Source organism: Homo sapiens, chromosome X (assembly GCF_000001405.40).
Source record: "Homo sapiens chromosome X, GRCh38.p14 Primary Assembly".
NCBI lineage: Eukaryota > Metazoa > Chordata > Mammalia > Primates > Hominidae > Homo > Homo sapiens.
Window position 1 is genome coordinate 139,142,113 of NC_000023.11, and position 27,684 is coordinate 139,169,796.

Below are 27,684 nucleotides of genomic sequence, written 5' to 3' on the forward strand. Positions count from 1 at the left end.
TGGTGCTGTAAACATCAGTTGTTTACAAGTGTGTCTGTCACCTGAATATAAAGACAGCTAGTTTCCAAAACTCAGTTATGATAAATGTGTCTCACTGCATTTTTTTCTAAGCTGCAAGCAATGACTGATGTTTATTGTCAATATTTTAGTTGTCAAGTGAGAAAATGGCACAGATAATTGGCCACAGGTTCTATAGGTAAAAATGACAGCTAACAGAAAGAAAAAGATAAAAATACCACCACATAAAAACATAAATGGCATCATCACAGACAATAAAAATAGGGAAGGTGTAAACTTTCAGAGAATAGCAAAGTACTCTCTTCAGGAAAACTTTAATTAAGTACACGGCTTTTCAAAATCTGCCAGTAAGTAGTACTGGCAGAGTACCAAATCTCTCTAATTCTTAACAGTTTGGGGGAAAAAGTGGTTTTCAATTTCTGGGTACAATGTAATGGTTAAGAAAGGCCACCAGCCTGCCTGAATTCAATTCCTGGCTTGGTCACTTTCAAGCCATATGACTTTGGCAAGTGGTGTTATTTCTTGGAGCCTTGGTTTCCTCCTCATCTGTAGAAGAGTAAAATTAATGCCTGTCTCAAAAGTTGTTGTGAGAATTAAATGCAATAACATAAGAAAAGAACAGAAAAAGCACTGATCAGTTTTTTCTTACTTTCATTGTGGTGGTGGTGGTTGTCATCATCCACATATCGCATGTAACTGAAAATTGAATCATGTTACCCTAGGCTTAAAATCCTTTAATGACTTCCCACTGCTATTAGAAAAAGGTTCAAATCCAGCACCATCTTGGATGGTTGATATGTCATCATCCACATATCACAAAAAGAAATATTTGCAAGTAGAGGTCCTGATAGACTTTTTAATGAAAAGACTCAGCATTTGGAGAATCATCTAAGGCCATACAAAATAAAATGTTATAACAGCACACTGTCAAAGATAGGGCTTAGCACTGTGAACACTATATATGCCCTAAGTTTGATAACCAGGATAAGCAATGCAAGGTACTCATGAGAATAAAAACCAGTGGGAAATATCCTGCCTCTGAAAATCAGGCTATAAAGATGTTGAAAGGGGAGCCAGAAGTCTCTAAGCTCATTTGTGTTTGGATATTTATGTGGTAATCTGGGTTACTGATTCCATATTACTCATGCCTATGGTAATAGTCCTAGTAGTCTGGAAGAGCCCCAGTGCTTCACAGTCATCAACAAGGTGCCTATCATCATTTACAGGTGTTCCACACTTTGCAAAAACTGATAAGCTTCCACACAGCAACCGCAACACAGGCCTGACTAAATGTTAAATGTTAACAAATATATAACATAATTACAAAAGTAAATATTATAGCCCTGGTTTTATCCGAATGGACATTATTTGGATTACTAGTATTCAAATTAGCGGAGGTTTAACAAAGTTCAAAAGGAAGTACTTCAGTACACTCTGTGTTGTCTGTCTTCCCCACGCTGTGGATGCGCTCTCACTGTTCAATTAGGGAAGATGTCCCCCATTCATCCCATTTTGGACCTGCTTGTCCCCCAAAATGTTCTCTGGACTTGAAGACAAACTAACCTAAATAAGGCGCTGCTGTTTTAGGTGATGAAGACTGCTTCCCTCCAAGGTGGGCTCCAACCAGACTCCACTAGGGCATTGCTGGAGCCTTTGAGCACAGATTGGGGATGCATCAAAATCTAGTCCCAAGGGACTTCCATGCACAGTGGACCTACATACTAGCTGATCACATAAATCAAACTCTCCAGTCTCCTAACTGCCTTCTAGTATGGTTCCAGGCCCAAATGACTGCCTTTCTCTTCTTGCTACCCTAATATGCACCTGCCACCCCCAAATTTCTGTTAGTTCACTTCCCTTCCCAGTGGCCAGCTCTGCAGACCACCAACATGCAAGCTGAAGCCCACACACACCAAAGCCAAGGAAAGGTAGCCCTGGCAGGGTGCAGCACTCCCCTCCTTCTCTCCCTTCCTGTTCTCACTGGCACTGCTAGCCTCAGGCCTGGGATGGCGTACTCACTGAGCTGTAACCCTCACCACAGTCTCACTCTATGCATTGAGTGCCCATTGAGCAGGGAAGCCTGAACCCCCTCCTGGCCTGTGTGAAAAGAACTCTGACCTTAAGTTCAGCCCAGCCCTTGCCAACCCTTTTCCTCTACTCTGATGGTGTTCTACCACAACCCAAGCCAGAAACCCTGGAGACAAGAAGTTGCTTCTCTCTTAACCACTGCCTGAGACACTCCCCTTTTGGGGAAGCCAGTTCACATTCACATCCTATGAGAAACAAAGCCCTGAGATTGTACCTCCTGTCCTGATTATTCCTCAAGCCATATCACTTTCTCCAGAAGACCCCCCTGACATGCACTGCAGTCAGGCACTCATTCTGCCTTGCCTGGACTCCTGCAATGGTCTCCTTCCTGGTCTCCCTGCCCAGTCTTCCCCCATCCTTATACTGCCAAAGTCCTCCTTCTAAAAGCAAGTCAGATCCCCTCATTCCTCTGCTGAAAAGATCTTCAACAGGTCCCCATTAGTTAAGGAAAGAAATTCCACAAATGTTAGCATGTTACCAAAGCCTCTAGAGCAACGATCATCAAGCTTTTCGATCTCAGAATCTTAAAAATAATTGAGATGTGGCAGAGAAAAAAAGGGTGATTTCTTGGGGGAAAAAAACAGTACTCCAAAGACCTTATATTTTGTGAGCTACATCTGTCAATATATATTGAATTATAAATAAAAACAAAAAATTTTTAAATATTCAGGTATCAATTCCCTTGAAATTCACAATAATAAACCAACAACATGTTCATATAAATAATATAATTACATGGTAACATAAGTAACATATTTTTAAGAAAAATAACTAAAGTTTTATGAAACATAACCATATTTTTCAAAACAACCAAAAATGTAGGTCAAAACAACACGGTTTTGTATTTTTGCAAATCTCTTTAATGTCTGGGTTAATGGAGGACAGCTGGATTCTTATGTTTGTTTCTGCATCTGATTTGTTATGGTAGTTTGTTTTAGCTGAGGTACATGAAGAAACTCCAGTATTACACAGATATGTAATTAGAAGAGGCAGGATTTTGCAGACCCCCTCAAAGGGACTCTAGTGAGGAGGAATCAAATCAGCATCAAATCAAATGGGCATCAAATCAGAGAGGCTGGGAGAGAGGGATAGCAAAAACGAACAAGTATACTTTTGAGAGTGATGGATGTTTTCATTACCTTGATTGTGGTGATGGTTTCATGGTATATACATATGTCAAAACTTATAAAATTGTATATTTTAAGTATATGCTATTTGTCATATGTCAATTAGTTCAATAAAGCTATTTAAAAATAGGAGAAAAAAGCTTCAAAAATGCTGTTCATCATGACGTCAACCTCCCTTTCTTCCCCCTCTGCCTCTACTCCCCTTCAAGCCATAAAACTTACACTCCAACTGTGTGTTACTAACAGTGGTGCCCCAGACCCACCAGCACCGGTCCCTTTCTGCACCTTTCCTCTCATCCCTTCCTCTACCTAAAATCCTTTCCCCACCAATGCCTCCACTCTCCACCTTCCCTCCTCTCCAACTGGATAAATTCCTCAAAATCTACCTCAAATGTCATCATCCCTAAAAAGCTTTCCTAGATCCCAACACCCTCTTCCAGGAAAATTAAGCTATTGTTTCTTCAACTTTAGTGGGTCAGGAAGGAATCAGGTGAGAGCAGCGGGGGCACATTTCTATCTGAATTTCCTCAGATTGACTTGTCTCCTGTTAATCTTCTTTGAATCAAGAAAAGACACTAAAAAAGGGATCCAACCTTTCCTTACACCTTATACAAAAATTAATTCAAGATGGATTAAAGACTTAAATGTTAGACCTAAAACCATAAAAACCCTAGAAGAAAACCTAGGCAATACCATTCAGGACATAGGCATGGGCAAGGACTTCATGACTAAAACACCAAAAGCAATGGCAACAAAAGCCAAAATTGACAAATGAGATCTAATTAAACTAAAGAGCTTCTGCACAGCAAAAGAAACTACCATCAGAGTGAACAGGCAACCTACAGAATGGGAGAAAATTTTTGCAATCTACCCATCTGACAAAGGGCTAATATCCAGAATCTACAAAGAACTTAAACAAATTTACAAGAAAAAATCAAACAACCCCATCAAAAAGTGGACAAAGGATATGAACAGACACTTCTCAAAAGAAGACATTTATGCAGCCAAAAGACACATGAAAAAATGCTCATCATCACCGGCCATCAGAGAAATGCAAATCAAAACCACAATGAGATACCATCTCACACCAGTTAGCATGGCGATCATTAAAAAGTCAGGAAACAGCAGGTGCTGGAGAGGATGTGGAGAAATAGGAACACTTTTACACTGTTGGTGGGACTGTAAACTAGTTAACCATTGTGGAAGACAGTGTGGCAATTCCTCAAGGATCTAGAACTAGAAATACCACTTGACCCTGCAATCCCATTACTGGGCATATACCCAAAGGACTATAAATCATGCTGCTATAAATACACATACACATGTATGTTTATAGCGGCACTACTCACAATAGCAAAGACTTGGAACCAACCCAAATGTCCACCAATGATAGACTGGATTAAGAAAATGTGGCACATATACCCCATGGAATACTATGCAGCCATAAAAAAGGATGAGTTCATGTCCTTTGTAGGGACATGGATGAAGCTGGAAACCATCATTCTGAGCAAACTATCTCAAGGACAGAAAACTAAACACCGCATGTTCTCACTCATAGGTGGGAATTGAACAATAAGAACACTTGGACACACGGTGGGGAACATCACACACCGGGGCCTGTCGTGGGGTGGGGGAGGGAGGAGGGATAGCATTAGGAGATATACCTAATGTAAATGACAAGTTAATGGGTATAGCACATCAACATGGCACATGTATACATATGTAACAAACCTGCACATTGTGCACATGTACCCTAGAACTTAAAGTATAATAATAATAAAATATAATAAAAATAAAGAACTTACTTGTGTAACTAAATACCACCTGTTTCCCAAAAATCTATGGAAATAAAAAATTTAAAAACAAGTTAAAAAAAAAAAAAGGGATCCAAAAGTCTATGAGCAGATGAAGACAGCCTAGGGCAAGCAGCCTAGTGCTACAGGGCCTATTGGAAAAGTCGATTTCCTCCGTGTTCCATCTCCCCACCACACACATCTGCAGGGAGCTTGCTGATAGCAAGGCCTACACTTAAGCCACCTATAATCCTTAAAGCACCAAGCCCATCACAGGTTCTTACCACATACCTGTGCTGCAAGGGAAGCAGGACTTCCTCAGTAAGACTCAGCTTCCTCAGTAAGACCTTCAGACATAAAAGGCATCTAAGAGTATCCACCTGTCAGGGTTGCCATAAGTCCTTATCAACAGAGTGTATTATTTTCCTAGGGCTGCCATAACAAAATCGCAAACTGGATGTCTGAAAACAACAGGAATGCATTCCCTCACAGATCTGGAGGCTAGAAGTCTGAAATCAAGTTGTCAACAGAGACATGCTTCCTTGGCTAGTAGCTGCATCATTTCAATCTCTGCCCTCGTCTTCATATGGCCTGGTATGTCTCCGTGCGTCTCCAAATCTCTTTCTCCTTATAAAGACACCACTGATTGGATTTAGGGTTGATCCTAATTAAGTATGACCTTGTATTAATTTGATTACTAGGTTCTTGCAAAAGTAACTCTGGGTTTTTTTTTTTTGCCATTGAAGGTAATGCATCTGCAAAAACAAAAACAAAAACAAACAAACAAACAAAAACCCTATTCCAAATAAGGCAACATTCTGAAATTCTGGGTAGACATGAATTTTGGTGGATGTATCACCACTCAGCACAGTATACAGAGCATGTGTGAAGGTACACAGTAAGTGACAGGCTCATGTGAACATCCTCCTTTCTTTCTACAAAGGTAGAAGAGTAGCAGAGGCCCCTTTCCCAGGAGGATAACCTGGGCTTATGGAGGGCTTTGTACTTAGACACTTACCAACCAAGTAGGAGCAACTGGAAGGAAAATGAGAGACAGAAGTGGATGATAACTGTTTTCCTTCTCAGCCATTGCCCTCCTCCCGTGACTGCTCTGCCTTCATTTTTTCCTGTTTCCTCACTCCACACCCACATGGGCAGTGCCATACAGAACACACACCTGCCTATTCAGAGTAGAACTTCATACACTACCCAGGAATTGCTTCCTTACACTTAGGGAATATAATTTATTGCTAAAATTTCTCAGTGATGAGTATAGAATATCCCAGTGAGGGAATGTTTGTTGTGTGCAGCCTACATAATAAATCATAAAGGCCAGCTTTTTAAAATGAATAAAAGGGAAAGAATGACTGAAAAAAACTACTCTAAAAATGCCTTCACAACTAGCTCTGATCCAAAATGCTATAATGTGATTTGGCTTTCTAATGCCAGGTAGCAGCCATTGGTTTAAAAAAAAAAAAAAAAAAAAGGAAAAACATGAAATATCATGGCAAAGTATCAAAAGCCTTCATGAAAAAACAGATACAAGTAAATATTCTATGTCCATCTTTAACACTGAAAGGCCAGGGATGTTCAACAAGCCCACATTTAGGAACCTGCACTTGATCTGTTAGCTGTACTGAGTGTGCTCCTAATGTCAGTTTTGCTGTAAGTGCATAACAAACCCTACCAGCTCACAGAGGCTTGGATGCCTGGGAAATATGGTGACAATAATGGGGGCAGGATGGGCAGGGTCCTGACCCCAGACCCAGAACATAGGAATTTGTCAGACAATGAGGTAGCAGGCCTGGAGTCCTTCTGTGATCCCCTTTTGCCCCCAATACCAAATCTTAAATTCAGTTTTGAGTTGCTCAAAACATCATTACTTCTCAAAGGCAACTTGAACTGAGTCTCCTGCAATTTTAAAATGACCTTGACCTTTTCTGCTGTCAGTCTTGGCGATTTGGTGAAGTATTTACACAACCCTATTATTTCCCTTGAGAATTCCTTTTCCCTCCCTGTTTTTCTTCTATTCTTTACTCTCCCTTTATTCTTTCAAGATATTCACACTGCTTTATTCAAATTGTGATACTTAACACATCATTAATTTGCACCATTTCAAAGGTTTTCCATTTCTAGACCTGTGCACATAATATGTACTATTGCAATACATTAGATTAAGGATTTAAAATCAGAAATATGGAATTGACATCAAAGGGAGGCCACATGCCATGTTACATTGGAAATACTTTGTTAAATGTACATAGGAACCTAATCTTCACATATGCTGAAAATTGGTACTGTTCACACTTATAAGAGCTACTGATATTATCTCTTACTAAAGTGTGTTTGGTGAAAGAAAACTGTGTTTAAGTTTAGAATGTCCTGAGAATAACAGGTAAGTATCTGGGTCAAAATTCCCATTCAAGTAATTACATTTCCCCAACCAAAAGTTAATTAGCACTTCTTGATAACACTGTTGGATAGTGCTACTGAATAAGATTATTTGAGCAGGTACCAGTCCACAATGTACAAAACAACCTAGATCCCCATAGGTTACTTTTTCTATTAATTGGAAATCTGTGGTCTCTTATTTAAAGGTGAGCCCCCATTAAAGGAATCTTGGACAGTCCATTAAGACAAAAATAAACTTCATGTACATACTCTCCATAAACTCTTCTGAGAAAATATGATACTAATCACTTGCTTATCCAGCACAAAACCTATCAGTGCATGTCACCCATCCAGAACTCAGGTGATAATGGGAAGAAGGGCAAAACAGATTCTGTAGAGGTGCACAATTGCACACACCCACACCCACACCTACACACAAAGTTTCAGAAATTGTTATTTACAGGAGAACTCCTCAACTCCTCACTAGGAACTTCCATTCTCCTACTTTACACAAAGTTTTTACAGGGTTGGCTAATTCTCTCCATCTGAATATCCTAGAACTACCAAATGAGAGGGAGGACAGTGAGCAAGTGCTACCAGTAGGCCTCTAACAACAACTCAAAGTGATAGCTGCTAGCCTGCCAGGGAAGAAGACAGAAAAACTCAGAAACTCCAGCCCAAGAACTCAAAAAGTTCTTGGTCTCAGACCATTTGTTGCAGGATAAAGTGATCCCCGTACCTCAAGAACTGATACTTATTAGGAAGATTCTAGGTTGCCAACAAAAGATAAAATATATTCAGCAGTATTTGCTTTAAAAAACCAAAGTAGTGACTAACACATTTTAAAAAGACACTACTAAAACTTTTCAAATTAAAACTGCTTTGCTATCTAAATGGCAAATGGTCAAACCCACCTATCCACAATGACTCCCTCCCTGGTGCTCAAAGAGATGAGGTGGTGTTAAAGAGAAGGCTTTGTTTGGAGGTGGTGGCTTGGGATTCTTTTCAAATAGTGAATCTTCTTTTTCCTGTTATTGTATCTAGCCCTCATCTAGCCTGTGAAGTAGGCTGAGTCCACCTGCAGTGCCTTCTCTCTATCCTATCAACAAATATTTACTGAGCCCTTTCTATGTGCCAGGCACTGTGCTAGATAACTGGCAATAGGAACAAGATAGAAACAGCCAATGCCTGCACAGAGCTGATAGACCAGACAACTTATAAAATACCAACTACTCATTGTATGATAAGCACTGAGATGCAGTGAACCTAAGAGATACAAGAACTCCAAGGAGCAGCCCCTAATTCTGCTTTGACTCCATTACTGTAGTAACCTCATGCTAGTAGCCTAGGCCACTTGTTTCAGCGGCCCACAAAGGGTGCTACACCCACAGCAATGTCTCATGACTGAATCTTTTCTCATACTCTGTCCATATCCTTTTAATACTTAGCTCTCCTGGGCCCCGTATGTTAGGAAGTTAAGACTCCTAAGAGGACACAATCAGATAAGCCACGCATTCTCAAAGGGTCAATACAGTCTCCAAAGGGTTGAAGTTGGTTCTTTGGGAGGGAAGAAAAAAAAAAAACTTACATATTACAATGGTTTTTGGCTCTCGAGAGCTCAACCTTACCCAACAAAATCTTACAGCTTGTTATTTAATTTCTCCTGTTGTGTTTTCTTGGGTATCATACTAGTAACACTGACCTTGACTTCATAGTAGACATACAAAATGTGTGCCAGATCAGTACTAGAAAACTACGGTGAATAGATGACTGTGATTGGAAACTTTCTCTCCATTGATCGCCCATTCTAAAAGTTAAATGGCAGAGGTGGCTGCCACTGGCTGCCTTGTCAATGTGGTTTATATTTGATCTTCAGTTTATATGTTATCATTTAATTCTAATAACATTATTCAGCCCATTATTAATTATGTCAAATATAAAGAAAAACTGTTAGCAAGATCTGAATGACTGTCTAGCAGCTAGTTAAATTAGAAGTTATTTTCCCATATCAAGCAGTAGTTAAATGTTAAGTTCAGTAAAATTTTTTAAGAAGCTAATTTAATTTTTTCAATTACTTTACTTTCGCCGGAAAAAGAGCAGATTTGGATGAATTTTTTAAACATTGAAGCACCTTGCTATTAAATATTACAAATTTATATAAATTGTTAATTTTTATATGTAGTTGATACACTGGAATTTTTAAGTAAATAAATTAAATTAAAATGTACTCAGCAAATACACACAAAGTTAATTGTTAATAGCTTTTTAATTTTTAACTTAATTGTTAACTGCAAACGTTAGTCATTCTTAATCCTTCATGTTATAAAAAGAGTAAGTAGGCCTTATACTTATCCTTGTTCTATATAAAGGACAGATATAGGTACAACACATAAATAGTATATCTCTGGTATTAAAATGTCATGGTATTAAAATGTCCTACAATTAGGAAAAATGTCCAGAAAGGCTCCTTAGGGGAGCAATAATGAAAAATAAAAAGCCTTGAGAAACATTAAGATAAGCTAATCTCCATTGCCTGAATGAGAGCTAACTGTAACACCATTAACAGAGACTGGGTAACAGGAGGGTGCCTCTGTGTACTAGAATTTGAGGAATTCCCTGAAGATGGAAAACACATGGGATCAGATCGACAAGAGAAGAGCAAACCATAGCTCAAATCATGTGCAGGAAAGGTAAAAGCAGATCCAGACAAACATTAAATTCAGAGCGAACTGTCATAAAAAAAAAACGGAGGAGGCCCCGGGGCGATTACCGATGTGATTAAGTTAAAAAAAAAAACAAAAAAAAAAACGACGAGGCCAGTATGTACTGGGCCTCCGATGTGGGCCCAGCACACAGGTGCACAAATATACATACTGAACAGTGGCCTTCAACCACAGACTAAAACCTGAAAACATTATAAAAGGGACTCTGGTTCTAGAGCCCGATCAAGCACTGTGGCTAATTGTGAATCAACAAATATGTGGGGGGAAAGGTTGGAAAGGTGGATCTACCCAGAATGGAGATCCCTGAAGCCTTATTTGTTTAGAATAAAGCTCCGTTAAATATCATATGGGACTTGGGATCCCCAGTCTGAATGCCTACTCCATGCCCAGAAACCTGAAATGACTTCCCACTGCCCAGGGGAAAAAAATCAAATCTCTTCAAAGTTTACAAAGCTCTTCTTGATGCCCCCCAGACCCTGTGCTTCAGGCAAACTGAATTTCGTGCTGTTTTTCCACCATGTGTTTCTCTCTCTCTCACCGCCAAGCCCTCACACAAAGCCTTCCCTTTGTCAGGAATACTCCTTCACCTGCAGCCTTTTGTACTGCTCCTTTACTGGGTAACTCTTACTCATGTTTTGGGATCTCAGCTCTTTGACCTTCCCCCACTCCTACCTCCCTTCCCCCAAGGTCAAAATGGATGCCCCTACTATGTCCTTCTCTTACTGCACTCAGAAAAATAAGTAGGCAATTGGAGTCTAGCACTGTTTAGGTGCTCACTGTACTGTGAGCTCCGTAAAGGCAGGGATAATCTCTACCCTTGTGATCAGTGAATCCTCAGGGCCTACTTCTGGTTATTAGCTCAATAAAAAGTATTGATCAGATTGAACTGAAATGGGTGGAAGAGAGATTTGGACCTTGGTAGGGCTTTTGGCTGTCAATTCACCCTCTACAGACAGCCAAGAATTCCAACTATTGGCAGGTCCAACCTGGCTTCCGCTTTCCCAGCTATTTCTGGTTTTATAGAAATTTGCCTCAATGTCTGTTGCCACATGGTTTTTCAACCACTATTGCCAGTACCTTTATGAAGAGATAATGAAAAAAAAAAAAAAGTCCTATCCTAATCTCAGAATCAGGAAATGAAGTCTGACGACTGGCTCTATCCCTTATCAGATTTCTGACCTTAGCCAAATAGCCCCCTCTCCCCTAGACCTCAGTTGGTGAAAGAAATGGGCTACAATTTCTTCTAGGACTTTCCTCCTCTTCTAACATCTATGACTTTTAATCCATATAAATCAACTCATTCCTGTGCCACTGGGTGGAAGGGAGTTTTCCCTTCTTTAAAATTTAAAAACTAGGAAAAATAAGAGAGACAAGGAAAAGCCACTGTTGTGAGTTAAATTATGTCCCCCAAAAAGATACGTTTAAATCCTAACTCCCAAGTACCTGTGAATGTGACTTTATTTGGAAATAAAGTCTCTACAGATATAATCAAGGTAAGATGATGTCATAGTGGACTAGGTTAATTGGGCCCTAATCCAATGACTGTTATCGTTATAAGTAGAGGAAAATTTGGACATAGAGAAAGGGGAAATACATGCACACACATGGGAAAAGGCCTTGAGAAGACAGAGGCAGAGACTGGAATGTCAAAGATTGTTAGCAACCAGCAGAAGCTAGAAGAGGCAAGGAAGCACTCTCCCCTAGAGTCCTACTAATACTTGGATTTCAGACTTCTAGCCTCCAGAACTATGAGACAATGATTTTCTGTTGTTTCAAGGAATCAAATTTGTAGTCATCTGTTACAACAATTCTAGGAAATAAACACAGATACCATCTTGAGAAAAGACCAAACACAAAAAAGTCTTCTGATTTTACCTGAAATCTAACACCCCATGACTACCCCCTTGTATATGCACACATAGGTCCCATTGGTGAGAAAATTTCCTATGACCACTATTAGCAAGATGAGGTTCTGGCTAAACAGAAGCAAGCATGTGTGCAGGAGTGGGCAAGGGGACAAAAAATAGCACTCCTGAGAGTCGCCATGAGTTTTTTCCACTCAGAACATTATGTGCTGATCACAAAGCATGCCATAACTCATTATTTTAAGAGCACTGATGAAGCGATGGATTGACCAACTCCAAATCAGCAACAGGGAGGTATCCAGGACAACATATCAATTGTCTAAAGAAAGGGCTGGATAAATACATAACATAACCACGGAAGCAATAATTATGAACAAGGGCTCTTCAGCAGATACTAAATGAGAGTCACGTGTCCAGAACAATTACCGCTTGTAAATTAGAAAAGTCTCCAATAGCAAAATGTAGCCATTAAATGACAATAAGCCCTTAATAACAACAAAAGGTGTGATTGCTTTTCATTAAGCAAAGAGACAAAACACGCAATCTGCAATAGTAAAAATGATGCGGCAAGTGTAGTCAGGAGCCCTAGGCCCTGTCCCTGGCTCTGCGCTCATTTAAGGAACACAGCAGCAGTTGTGCTTTCAATATATTTTGATTGAGAAAACAACAAACTGCAAGCAGCTACCATGTCTTGGGTAGTTCTTTTAATTTGTATATTAGTAGTAATAAAGGTTAATATATACAGCACTTACTTTGTACCAGGGACTGTTCTAAGGATTTTTAAAAAAATATTTAATATAAGGTAGACAACAACGTTTTGAGGTACATGCTATTATTATATTCATTTCCCAGACAAGGATGTTGAGGCTCAGAGAAGTTAAGCAATTTGTCTAGCATCATTATACATACATACAAAGCTTGTATGTTCTAGATGGAGAATCTCAAACCATGCAGTCTGGTTCCAGAGCTTATTACTTATCCTGCCATCACAAGAGTATGCATATACTTGTGAAAAACAGGAGCACATATACAGGCCATATTAATCATTTAGTCTATAGCTAAAACTAGGTGTGCATATTTAGTACCTTAAGCATTAATGACACCCCCATACCCTCAGGGTGCATGGCTCCTGTGTCTTGAAGCCTCTTCTTAATGAAAAGCAATTGCTTCTTAATGAAAAGGAATTGTCATGTAATAGCTACATTTTGATATTGGGGATCTCTAATTTACATGCAATAACATGAGACCCAGCACTGAAGACGCTTTAGAGCCTAATCCAGCTCTGTCTCTCTATAGGCCCTTCCAGGTCAGTGCTGGCCAACAAGTATCTACTAGAAAGAAAGTCTCCCAAGTCACCCACTTAAGCAAAGAAATCCCCCAACACTCAGATGACAGGTGGAGGGATACAACTTCTTTGACTTTTTAGTTTGTCTCCATGAGTTATCTTCAGGACACTGCAGCTAACCGTGGACTACTTTGACTCACCATTCTAGGGTAGGGACTGTAAGTTTCTGGGGACAGGAAGAAAGGCAGAAATGTGCAAAAGTTCTTACTGGCCACAACACAGGAGACTAGCTCCAGCAGTCTTCAGAGGCATGTTTGCCCTGGAGATGCAGATGCCTAGTGAACTGACGGTGGGTGCAGAAGAGTAGGGAAATGCTTGTCTGAGAAGTCAATTTTTCTCCTCTGCTTAACATGAGCTCCCAAAGAACAATAGACCTGATACAAAAGCAGTCTTCTGGAACTTGTCCTCCCCACTCTTCAGAAAGTGCTTGGGATCATGGTTTAGGGATTTCCATTGCTAATGGCCACCTCCTGGTAAAAGCTGCTAGGCCAGGGATATGCAAGCCACAGCTCGGGGCTGTTTTTCAGGGTGAGCCCTGGGCAGCAGAATATTCTCCAGACCCAGGAAGCTTTCCCACAGGCAGGGAAAGTCAATGTTTGGTGAGGCTTCAAGTTTATACAATTTCAGAGACTCTTTTTAGGAATGGAATACAAAATGATGAACATAAAATTGTTTTGTCAGGGTTGAGCCCTGGTCAGCAGAGTCTTCTCCTGTGAGAGAAAATAAATCACCCAAAACTTCTTTAGATTCATTATAAACCCACTTTTGCCCACAAGTTTTTTAAATGTCACATGCAGACAACTGAACTTACTACCTCCCCTCTCCCCTCACATTCTATGGGGACAGGCTTTAAGGTGGCCCCCATGATCTCTGCTTCCTGGTATTCACGCCCCTGTATAAACTCCTCCCTTTGATCCTGACTTGCTTCTAACCAACAGGACATTGCCAAGGTGATAAGACGAATTTGATTATGTGTACATGATTACAATGCATCAAAATGTAACCCTTATATTGCTAAGTGACTCCCTTACTGGCTTTGAATAAGCAAGGAGTCTTATTGGTAAGGCCCATGTGGCAAGAAACTGAGTGTGGTCTCTGGCCAACAGCCAGTTAGAAACCGAGGCGCTCAACCTTAAAGCCCACAGGCTTAAGTCGTTCTCCAACTTCAGTATGCACAAGAATAATCAAGGGAGCTTATGATAGTATTTATTCTAACATATTCTACCATTCTTAACAAAATCAGAGCCCACTCCCAGAAATTTTTATTCAGTAACTCTACCATGGGGCACATACTTAACATCTAAGGTGAGAAAAAGTACACTGCAGTCCACAAGCCAACATGTTTAAGCTTTATGGGCCACAATAAATGAAGGTGAGAAAAATGTACCTGGTCCTTACGTCATTGCTTTATGTCAAATTGAAATGAGAAGTAAAACGCTAAGGAAACTAAGTAAACATCAGAAAGTCATCTGAGGAAAACAAGAACCAAACAAGAGGCCGCTGAGAAAATCTAGGAGCACAACACACTATTCCAGGAACCATTAGAAGGGCAAACTGCCAATATAAGAAGAGAATGGAAAGGAAAGTGACATTTGCTGAGCATCTACCATATGCCAGCCACGTGAAATATGCTGTAAGTCTGATTATTATCATTATTATTATTATTTCCTTACCATAGCCCTGTAATGTAGGAATTGTCATCCTTATTTCACTGATAAGCAAACTAAACTCGGAAGCTATATCATTTGCCAAAGGTCACACGACTAATAAGTGGCAAAGCAAGGACTCAAACCCAGGTATTTCTGATTTAGACCCAGGCACTTTGTACTAGATCAGATTATAATGAGCCCCACCTTCCACTTCTATCTTGTTTAAATTTACTCCAAACTGCTATCTGAGAGACCTCTGCTATGGTTTAAATGTATCCTCCAAAAGTTCATGTGTTGGAAACTTAATACTTCTACCCTCATAAAGGGATTAATGTCACTATCAGGAGTGAGTTTGTTATCTCAGGAGTGGCTTTGTTATAAAAGCAAGCTCTCTCTAGCTCTCTTGTTCTTCCCTTCTTAACATGTGATGCCCTTCACCATGTTGTGATGCAGCAAGAAGGCCTTCACCCCATGCAGGTGTAATGGTTTTTAACTTCCCAGCCTCCAGAACCATGAGTTAAATTAACATCTTTGTTTTATAAATTACCCAGTCTGTGGTATTCTGTTTTAGCAATAGAAAACAAAGAAAGAAAATTAGTACCAGAAAGTGGTGTTGTTGCCACAACAAATATCTGAAAATGTGGAAGCAGCCTTAGAACTGGATGATGGGTAGGGGCTGGAAGAAGTTACAGGATGTGGCTGTCGGGGTGGCCGAATAGGAACAGCTGTGGTCTGCAGCTCCCAGTGAGATCAATGCAGAAGGCATGTGATTTATGCATTTCCAACTGAGGTACCCAGCTCATCTCAATGGGACTGGTTAGACAGTGGGTGCAGCCCATGGAGGGCAAGCTGAAGCAGGGTGGGGCGTTGCCTCACCCAGGAAGTGCAAGGGGGCGGGAAACTCCCTCCCCTAGCCAATGGAAGCCCTGAAGGAATGTGCCATGCGGAATGGTGCATTCCAGCCCAGATACTATGCCCTTCCCATGGTATTCACAGCCCACAGACTAGCAGATTCTCTCAGGTGCCAACACCACCAGGGCCCTGGGTTTCAAGCACAAAACGGTGCGGCCATTTGGGCAGACACCTAGCTAGCTGCAGCATTTTTTTTTTTTGATATCCCAGTGGTGCCTGGAACACCAGAGAGAGAAAACCGTTCACTCCCCTGGAAAGGGGGGTGCAGCCAGGGAGCCAAGTGGTCTAGCTCAGCAGAGCCCACCCCCATTGAGCCCAGCAAGCTAAAATTCAATGGCTTGAAATTCTTGCTGCCAGGAAAGCAGACTGAAGTAGACCTGGGACACTCCAGCTTGGTGGGGGGAGGGGCATCATACATTACTGAGGCTTGAGTAGGCAGGTTTCCCCTCACAGTGTAAAGAAAGCTGCCAAGAAGTTCAAACTGGGCGGAGCCAGGTACAGAATGGCTCTGTAGCCAGACTGCCTCTCTAGATTCCTCCTCTCTGGGCAGGGCATCTCTGAAAGAAAGTAATTGCTAACTAGAATAACCAGTTTAAAGAATAACATAAATGACCTGATGGAGGTGAAAAACACAGCGTAAGAACTTTGTGAAGCAGACAGAGGTATCAGTAGCCAAATCAGTCAAGCAAAAGAAAGGATATCAGAGATTGAAGATCAACTTAATGAAATAAAGCATGAAGAGAAGATTATTGAAACAAGAATGAAAAGGAACAAACAAAGCCTCCAAGAAATATGGGACTATGTGAAAAGACCAAACCTACATTTGACTGGTGTACCTGAAAGTGATGGGGAGAATGGAAGCAAGTTGGAAAAATACTCTTCAGGATATTATCCAGGAGAACTTCCCTAACCTAGCAAGACAGGCCAACATTCAAATTCAGGAAATACAGAGAACACCATAAAGATACTCCTCGAGAAGAGCAACCCCAAGACACATAATCATCAGATTCACTAAGGTTGAAACGAAGGAAAAAATGTTAAGGGCAGCCAGAGAGAAAGGTTGGGTTACCCACAAAGGGAAGCCCATCAGGCTAACAGCAGATCTCTCTGCAGAAACCCTACAAGCCAGAAGAGAGTGGGGGCCAATATTCAACATTCTTAAAGAAAAGAATTTTCGACCCAGAATTTCATATGCAGCCAAACTAAGCTTCATAAGTGAAGGAGAAATAAAATACTTTACAGACAGCCAAATGCTGAGAGATTTTGTCACCAGCAGGTCTGCCTTACAAGAGTTCCTGAAGGAAGCACTAAATATGGAAAGGAAAAACTGGTACCAGCCACTGCAAAAACATACCAAATTGTAAAGACCATCAACACTATGAAGAAACAGCATCAACAAATGGGCAAAATAACCAGTTAGCATCATAATGACAGGATCAAATTCACACATAACAGTATTAACCTTAAATGTAAATAGGCTAAATGCCCAAATTACAAGACACAGACTGGCAAATTGGATAAAGAGTCAAGACCCATCAGTGTGCTGTATTCAGGAGACTCATCTCACGTGCAAAGACGCACAGAGGCTCAAAGTGAAGGGATGGAGGAATATTTACCAAGCAAAGAGAAAGCAAAAAAAAAAAAAAAAACAGTGTGGGTTATAATCCTAGTCTCTGATAAAACAGAGTTTAAACCAACAAAGATCAAAAAAGACAAAGAAGGGCATTACATAATCGTAAAGGGATCAACACAACAAGAAGAGCTAACTATCCTAAATATATATGCACCCAATTAAGGAGCACCCAGATTCATAAAGCAAGCCCTTAGAGACCTACAAAGAGAATTAGACTCCCACACAATAATACTGGGAGACTTTAACACCTCACTGTCAATATCAGACAGATCAATGACACAGAAAATTAACAAGGATATTCACGACTTGAACTCAGCTCTGGACCAAGCAGACCTAAGAGACATCTACAGAACTCTCCACCCCAAATCAACAGAAGATACATTCTTCTTAGCACCACATCACACTTATTCTAAAATCGACCACATAATTGGAAGTAAAACACTCCTCAGCAAATGCAAAAGAATGGAAATCATAACAAACAGTCTCTCAGACCACAGTGCAATCAAATTAAAACTCAGGATTAAGAAACTCACTCAAAACCGCACAACCACATGGAAACTGAACAACCTGCTCCTGAATGACTAGTGGGTAAATAACGAAATGAAGGCAGAAATAAATAACTTCTTTGAAACCAATGAGAACAAAGACACAACGTAACACAATCTGTAGGACACAGCTAAAGCAGTGTTTAGAGGGAAATTTATAGCACTGAATGCCCACAGGAGAAAGTGGGAAAGATCTAAAATTGACACCCTGAAATCACAATTGAAAGAACTAGAGAAGCAAGAGCAAATGAATTCAAAAGCTAGCAGAGGGCAAGAAATAACTAAGATCAGAGCAGAACTGAAGGAGATAGAGACATGAAAAGACCGTTAAAAAAATCAAGGAATCCAGGAGCTGATTTTTGGAAAAGATTAACAAAATAGATAGACTGCTAGTCAGACTGACGAATAAAGAAGAAAAGAGAGAAGAATCAAATAGACACAATAAAAAATGATAAACGGGATATCACCACTGATCCCACAGAAACACAAACTACCATCAGAGAATACTATAAACACCTCTATGCAAATAAACTAGAAAATCTAGAAGAAATGGTTAAATTCCTGGACACATGCACCCTCCCAAGACTAAACCAGGAAGAAGTCAATTCCCTGAATAGACCAATGACAAGTTCTGAAATCGAGGCAGTAATTAATAGCCTACCAACCAAAAAAACCCAGGACCAGATGGATTCACAGCTGAATTCTACCATTGGTACAAAGAGGAGCTGGTACCATTCCTTCTGAAACTATTCCAAACAACGGAAAAAGAGGGACTCCTCCCTAACTCATTTTATGAGGCCAGCATCATCCTGCTACCAAAACCTGGCAGAGACACAACAACAACAAAAAAATTTCAGGCCAATATCCATGATGAACATAGATGCAAAAATCCTCAATAAAATACTGGCAAAATGAATCTAGCAGCACATTAAAAAGCTTATCCACCACGATCAAGTGGGCTTCATCCCTGGGATGCAAGGCTGGTTTAACATACACAAATCAATAAACATAATCTATCACATAAACAGAACCAATGACAAAAACCACATTATCTCAATAGATGCAGAAAAGGGCTTCAATAATATTCAACACTCCTTCATGCTAAAAACCCTCAATAAACTAGGTATTGATGGAACATATCTCAAAATAATAAGAGCTACTTATGACAAACCCACAGTCAATATCATAATGAATGGGCAAAAGCTGGAAGCATTCCCTTTGAAAACTGGCACAAGACAATATACTCTCTCTTAGCACTCCTATTCAATAAAGTATGGGAAGTCTGGCCACAAGACAATATACTCTCTCTTAGCCCTCCTATTCAATAAAGTATGGGAAGTCTGGCCACGGCACTCAGGCAAGAGAAAGAAATAAAGTGTATTTAAATAGGAAGAGAGGAAGTCAAATTGTCTCTGTATGCACATGACATGATTGTAAATTTAGACAATCCCATTGCCTCAGGCCAAAATCTCCTTAAGCTGATAAGCAACTTCAGCAAAGTCTCAGGATACAAAATCAATGAGCGCAAAAATCACAAGCATTCCTATACACCAATAATAGACAAACAGAGAGCCAAGTCATGAGTGAACTCCCATTCACAATTGCTACAAAGAGAATAAAATAGCTAGGAATACAACTTAAAGGGATGTGAAGGACCTCTTCAAGGAGAACTACAAACCACTGCTCAAGGAAATAAGAGAGGACACGAATGGAAAAACATTCCATGCTCATGGATAGGAAGAATCAATACCATGAAAATGGCCATACTGCCCATAGTAATTTATAGATTCAATGCTATTCCCATCAAGCTACCATTGACTTTCTTCACACAATTAGAAAAAACTACTTTAAATTTCATATAGAACCACAAAAAGAGCCTGTATAGGCAAGACAATCCTAAGCAAAAAGAACAAAGCTGGAGGCATCACGCTACCTGACTTCAAACTACACTACAAGGCTACAGTAAGCAAAACAGCATGGTGCTGGTACAAAAACAGATATAAAGACCAATGGAACAGAACACAGCCTCAGAAATAAAGCCACACATCTACAACCTTCTGATCTTTGACAAACCTGACAAAAACAAGCAATGGGGAAAGGATTCTCTATTCAATAAATGGTGTTGGGAAAACTGGCTAGCCATATGCAGAAAACTGAAACTGGACCCCTTCCTTACATCTTATACAAAAATTAACTCAAGATGGATTAAACGTTAAGACCTAAAACCATGAACACCCTAGAAGAAAACCTAGGCAATACCGTTCAGGACATAGGCACGGGCAAAGATGTCACGACTGAAATACCAAAAGCAATGGCAACAAAAGCCAAAATTGACAAATGGGATCTAATTCAACTAAAGAGCTTCTGAACAGCAAAAGAAACTATCATCAGAGTGAACAGGTACCCTACAGAATTGGAGAAAATTTTTGCATTCTATCCATCTGACAAAGAGCTAACATCCAGAATCTACAAGGAACTTAAATAAATTTACAAGATAAAAACAAACAACTCCATCAAAAAGTGGGCAAAAGATATGAACAGACACTTCTCAAAAGAAGACATTTATGTGACCAACAAACATATGAAAAAAAGTTCATCATCACTGGTCATTGGAGAAATGCAAATCAAAACCACAATGAGATACCATCTCATGCCAGTTAGAATGGCGATCATTAAAAAGTCAGGAAACAACAGATGCTACAGAGGATGTGGAGAAATAGGAATGCTTTTACACTGTTGGTGGGAGTGTAAATTAATTCAACCATTGTGGAAGACAGTGTGGTGATTCCTCAAGGGTCTAGAACCAGAAATACCATTTGACCCACCAATCCCATTACTGGGTATATACCCAAAGGATCATAAATCATGCTACTATAAAGACACATGCACACGTATGTTTATTGCAGCACTATTCACAATAGCAAAGTCTTGGAACCAACCCAAATGCCCATCAATGATAGACTGGATAAAGAAAATGTGGCACATATACACCATGGTATACTATGCAGCCATAAAAAAGGATGAGTTTATGTCCTTTGCAGGGATATGAATGAAGCTGGAAACCATCATTCTCAGCAAACTAACACAGGAACAGAAAACCAAACACTGCATTCTCTCACTCATAAGTGGGAGTTGAACACTGAGAACACATGGACACAGGAAGGGGAACATCACACACTGGGGCCTGTCAGGGGGTGGGGGCCTAGGGGAGGGATAGCATTAGGAGAAATACCTAATGTAGATGACAGGTTGATGGGTGCAGCAAACCACCATGGCACGTGTATACCTGTGTAACAAACCTGCATGTTCTGCCCATGTATCCCAGAACTTTAAGCATAATAATTTAAAAGAAGAAGAAGAAGAAGTTGTACACTGGAGAAATCAAACTCAAGGATAGTGAGGGAGTCCTGGTCACATTGTTGGAGGTCATTCAGCTTTGAAGCCAGGTCTACTTTTACTCCTTTCAGGTATGCAAATCAATATTATAATAACTACTACTACTACTATTATTACTGCCACCACTACTATCACCACCACCATTATTATTTCTATTATTATTTGGGTTAATGTCTGTTTCTATCAAATGAATTCAACAACTCTAAAATTTTCCTGAAGTTTTCTTAGGAAAATCCAGTCTAAGGATGCTGTGCATTAGAGATCCAAAAACAGTATGTTCAAGCAGCATCATGAATTTAAGTTGGAATAACTGAGCACAGCATGCTTATTTGGTATGCTTTTTTCCTCTAGAATATTCCCCCCAAATATTCCAAATAAGGAATCATATTTTGTGAACAACCAAAACCGAAGTATTTATGACAACGTTAAGGTGGGGGCTGACAGCTCTGAAATTTGCAGGGCAGGCTTGCAGGCTGGAAATTCAGGCTGAGTTTTCTTTTTTTTTTTTTTTATTATTATTATTATACTTTAAGTTTTAGGGTACATGTGCACAATGTGCAGGTCAGTTACATATGTATACATGTGACATGCTGGTGCGCTGCACCCACTAATTCGTCATCTAGCATTAGGTATATCTCCCAATGGGTTTTCATGTGGTAGTTCTGTGGATAATTCCTTCTATGTCGGGGAACCTCAGTTTTTGCTAATAAGGTTTCCAACTGATTGGATGAGGGCCATGTACATTATGGAGATTAATCTTTTTTTCTTAAGGTCTACTGATTTAAATGTCAAATCACATCTAAAAGTACCACTAGCCAGGTGCAGTGGCTCACGCCTGTAATCTCTGCACTTTTAGAGCCCAGGCGGGTGGATCACTTAAGCCCAGGAGTTCGAGAGCAGCTTGGGCAACATAGCAAGGCCTTGTCACTACAAAATAACAAATTTTGCCGGGCGTCATGAGATGTGCCTGTAGTCCTAGCTACTCAGGAAGCCGAGGTGGAAGGATTGCTTAAGCCCAGGAGGCTGAGGCTGCACTGAGCCAAAATGCACCACTGCACTCCAACCTGGGTGATAGAGTGAGACCTTGTCTCAAATAAATAAATAAATAAATAAATAAATAAATAAATGAATGGAGAATTCTATTAAAAAATACATTCACAGCAACATTTGGACTGATGTTTGAAGAACTGTTTACTTATAGCTTAGCCACATTGATAAATAAAGTTAATCATCACAATAGTAAATGAACTACTTAATATTATTTTCTCTTATCTGTACTTTAAATAAAATAAGAATGGTTGCCAAACTGAAAAAAAAAAGAATTTATAGGAGCAAGTTTAAAAACCCTAGATTGCTGTGAATAGGGCACTAAGGGAGACTCTGGGGAGGGCTCAGAAGAAAAGAAGACTAGAGAAAGTCTGGAACTTCTTAGGGATTACTTAAGTGGTTGTGATCACAATGCTGGTAGAAATATGGACGTTAAAGTCCATTCTGACAAACTCTCAGATGGAAATGAGAAACAACTTATTGGAAACTGTAGTAAATGGCATCCTTGTTACACAGTTGCAACGAACTTGGCAGAATTGTGTCCATGTCCTAGGATTTTATGGAATGCAGAAAATGATGAACTAGGATATCTGGCAGAAGAAATATCTAAGAAGCATAGCATTCAGGATGATGATTGGCTACTTTTAACCACATAAAGTGAGATGCAAAAGGAAAGAAATGACTTAAAGATGAAATTCATAATTAAAAGAGAGTAGCGGAACAGAAAGATTTGGAAAATCTGCAGCCTGCCACATAAAAACTGAAAAAGCTTGCAAGAGTGTGGCCAAGTGACCATTTGTTAAAGAGATTGGTAGGGCTAGAAGGGAGCCAGGTGCTAGCCATCAGAACAATGGGAGAAAAATCCCGAAAGCACTTTGGATATTTTTTACTCTGCCCCTTCCATCAGGGGCCCAGAGCTCTCAAGGGCAGAATGGTTTGGGGGAACAGGCCTGGGTGGCCTCCAAAAGTTCACTGCCCTGTGCAACCTCAGGATACTGCTCCCCACGTTCTGGAGCTTTGTCCCCTAGTTTGCCCCAGCTGGATTTCAAGCGGCCCAAGGTGTGCCTCAATCTCCCACTCTGGAAGTTACAAGCCATTAAGCTTGGCTACATCCACATGGTACTAATCCTGCAGGCCCAAAGAATGCAAGAACTGTGGGGGTATGAGGGTATGATAGTCTCCACTTAGATTTCAAAAGAAGTATCAAACAGCCTGGGCCCCTTTGTTTTGGCCATTTTCTCCCATTTGGAATGGGTGTATTTACCCAATGCCTGTACCTCCATTGTATCTAGGAAGTAACTAACTTGCTTTTGATTTTACAGTCTCATAGGAAGAAGGGACTTGCCTTGTCTCAGATAAAACTTTGGAGTTGGACTTTTGGGTTAATGCTGGAATGAGCTAAGACTCTGGAGGACTGTTGGAAGGGCATGATTGTGTTTTAAAATGTGAGGACATGAGATTTGGTAGGGGAAGGTCACAGAATGATATGGTTTGGCTGTGTCCCCACCCAAATCTCATCTTGTAGTTCCCATAATCCCCACGTGTCATGTGAGGGACCCACTGGGAGGTAATTGAATCATGGGGGCAGTTACCCCTATGCTATTCTCGTGATAGTAAGTTTTCACAGGATCTGATTGTTTTATAAGGGGTTTCCCCCTTTGCTTGGTTCTCGTTTTTCTCTCTCTAGCTGCCATGTGAAGAAGGACGTATTTGCTACCCTTTCTGCCATGATTGTAAGATTCCTGAGTCTTCCCCAGCCATACTGAGCTGTGAGTCAATTAAATCTCTTTCCTTTATAAATTACCCAGTATGTCTTTATTAGCAGTGTGAGAATGGACTAATATAGTGCTGAAATAAATTAAGGCTTTAAGGCTATTTGGATGGAATGAATGTCTTTTGTATGTAAAAAGGACATGATTTGGGGGTATCCAGGGGCAGAATTCTGTGGTTTGAATACCCCCACCCAAAACTCATGTTGACATTTAATTCTCAATGCAACAGTGTTGGGAAGTGAGGCCTAATTGGAGGTATTTAGGTCATGAGGGCCTTACAGATGCCAGACACCATGCCACTGGACTTCCTAGCCTCTAGAACCATTAGCTAAATAAACTTCTTTCCTTTATAAATCACTCAGTCTCTGATATTTTGTTATAATCACACAAAATAGACTAAGACAGCCTCCCTAAAACCTTTTCCATATGAAAATTTCACTTTTCCATATGAAACACTCCTTCAATTCCCCTTAAAAGATAACACCCAAGCTCCTTATCATGATACATGAGACCCTTCATGATCTGGCCCAATCTCAATTTCCAGCCTCCCTCTTACCCTCACATATGCTTCCCAAACTCATCGTCCTCTTTTATGCTTCTGTGCCTTTGCAAATGATATACCCTCTGCATTTCAATTTGGCAAACTCCTATTCACCCAGTAAGACTCACATCAAATATCACCTGCTCTGAGAAGCCTCCCTTGAGCAATTATTTTATATAAATGAATATCTCCTTCCTTTTCTGTTCCTCTAATACATTGTGCATAAGTCAACGGAAGCACCTGACAAAGTATACTGTCTCCCTTATTGGACTGTGAGCTCTTCAAGAGTAACTTGTATATACCCTGTACTTGGCATAGTAGCTGGCGTATAGGAACATTTGATAAATGATTATGGGAAAATGACAGGTTTAATTTAATCAAGAGAAGATATATTCTAATTACAGAGATAAAGATAAGCAAAAGTCAAGTCAGCAAATACATGTATGTAGGTACACACACATGTCAATGTCACTCATCTCAACTCACCCTAGGTAACTTTTTATTCCTGAAATCTGAGATATTAATGTTGGCAACATCTGAAAATGAGGACATCTCACTCAGTGATGTGGTAATAACATTGTGCCAGATGAGTTACATCCAACAAAGCCAAAACATTAAATACATGGCCAGGTGTCAAAACCTCAACTGACCCTGATCCTTTATGAGTGATACAGAATGATAAAGATCATCAATGTCTCTGGAGTCCCAGCTAAAAGTCTCAGATCACATAAGTGATAACTGCACTGATAAGCCATAAGATTGATTCAGAAATAAATATGGCATCATTCATCAGCCCACAAAGTCAGACACATTCCACTTAGCAAAAATGTGGGACAATGTGTTAATGTATATGCCACATTCTGCTTTAAAAGAAAAAAGCATAGGACTCCTTTCAAACAGTAAAGTATAAGTGCTGTGGATTAATAATTTGCAAACTATAACAATGCAACTTTACCAGAATATAAATGCCAATATCTATTCTTTCAAAAATCATACAATTGTAGTTAAAGAGAAGACATCATATTTCACAAATATAAGACTCTGGAGTTCAAAATGAAAACTAGGATACTACTTCACACTCAAATGGATAAATATGAGAGAATGGTTTATAGATGCATGCTATTTCATTTAAAACCTTTCATGAACCCAGTGATTTTTCAAGACAGTTTCATACTTAATAGTCAAGATGCCAAGTCTCCAAATCCAAGCAAGTGTTATGTAAACAGAATTGTGGATGTTTCATCAATACAACCATTCGATCAAGGTTTAATAAGGTGCAGGTTTGGGTACCCTATAATTATGAGTGGCCTGTAGGTATATCAGATAAAATTCCAAAACCTAACTCTCTTTCTACCTAGATCTTTCAGAAAGTCAATTTGAAATACATTTAGTATTTTTAAATATATCATTTTTTTATTTTACAACAAAAAGCTGACACTCTTCTCCATAATAAATAACAATTTTTATTACTTCCCTACCTTATGTATAGCAACAAGTATATGTTTATGTTAGGTAAATGTTGAGGGGGAAAAAGAGGGCTGTTGAAGAAAAAATACAGTAAAAGGTCTTCTACATAAAGCTAAAATAATTAAAACACAAATTATACATTCTTTACAGATAGCTACAAATGTAATAGCAATATTAAAACATTCATGAAAGTTATTCACGCCAAATTCAGAAACTTGGTCCCCTCCAGGCAAGAAGGAAGGGAATATCAGTGAGGGATACACAAGGAGCTTTAACTGCATCAGTAATGTTTTACTAAGCTAAGTGGTGGGTCCATGAGTACCCCCTGGATTATTCACCATAGCATCCAATTTTGTATCTGAAATACATCTAGTAATTTTTAAAATCCATGCTAGTAGTCATTCCTTGTATTTCTTTTATAGGACATAACTGAAAATATAAGATGCTCATGCCCATGTTGTTGAACTGAGAGGCATTCTTTCTTAGTAAAGAGAAATGTATCAAGATATGAAGTCTGAAGTTACTGCTGTAATGGAGTAGACAGTGTTCTGATTACAAATAAAGAATATTAACAGCCAAAATTTATCCAACACTTACTATGTACCAGGCACTGTGTTAAGCACTTTACACAAATTATCTTCTTTAATCTTCATAAAAGCCCACAACAGGAGGTACTAGTATCATTCATGTTTCATGGAGAATGAAGCTGATGATCCAAGAGATTAGGGAAGTTGTGCAAGGTCACACACCTCATAAGGGTTGAGCAGACATTTGATTCCAACCCCAACTCCCCATTTATCTCTTGCTCTTCACCACCTCTTCATGCTATCTTCCCAAATATCCAATGCTAGAGCATAAGGTGCCTTTCTATGAATTAGAAAAAGGTAATCCCTCTGGAAGAGTGCAGCTCCTCATCAGCTGCCAAAAGCACTGTCTGAATATCAGCCTCACTGACCCCGAGGGCCAGACATCCCTGTACAATGGCCCTGTCTCCAGCTCCCCTTGCTTATCTCTGGCCTAGGCACCTCTTTTATCCCCTGCTTGCTTGCTTGTATTTTTTAAAGAGACAGGATCTTGCTCTGTTGCCCAAGCTGGGGTACAGAGGTGCAATCACAGCTTGAACTCCTGGTCTCAAGGGATCCTCCTGCCTCAGCCTCCCAAAGAGCTAGGATTACAGGCATAAGCCACTGCGTCTGGCCCTGCTTTCTACCTAGAACCCAGAAATTCCTTTCATGAATTCGGCCTGATTGGACTACAAACGATTGTTCAAAATGCCTTGGGAACTACAATGTCCCTAGGTATCAAAGAATACTCCAGATGCCTCATCAGTGAGCCACCAGGATCAGTGAGAGCCTCTAAAAGAGATCAAGTT

The 27,684-nt window shown here is 39.9% G+C and overlaps 1 protein-coding gene across 3 annotated transcripts in view, besides 1 other annotated feature; it reads right to left on the minus strand.

Moving 5' to 3' along the window:
• Nucleotides 1–27,684, minus strand: part of FGF13 (fibroblast growth factor 13) — a 590,297-nt gene that overhangs the window by 527,386 nt on the left and 35,227 nt on the right. The window lies entirely within an intron of this gene.
• Nucleotides 2,255–2,458: a silencer, noted in NCBI's record as "fragment chrX:138226529-138226732 (GRCh37/hg19 assembly coordinates)". NCBI's record gives its function as "represses an EF-1alpha promoter that drives an FKBP-Casp9 reporter gene in an ReSE screen in K562 erythroleukemia cells {active_cell/tissue: K562}" and the evidence as "EXISTENCE:reporter gene assay evidence [ECO:0000049][PMID:32094911]".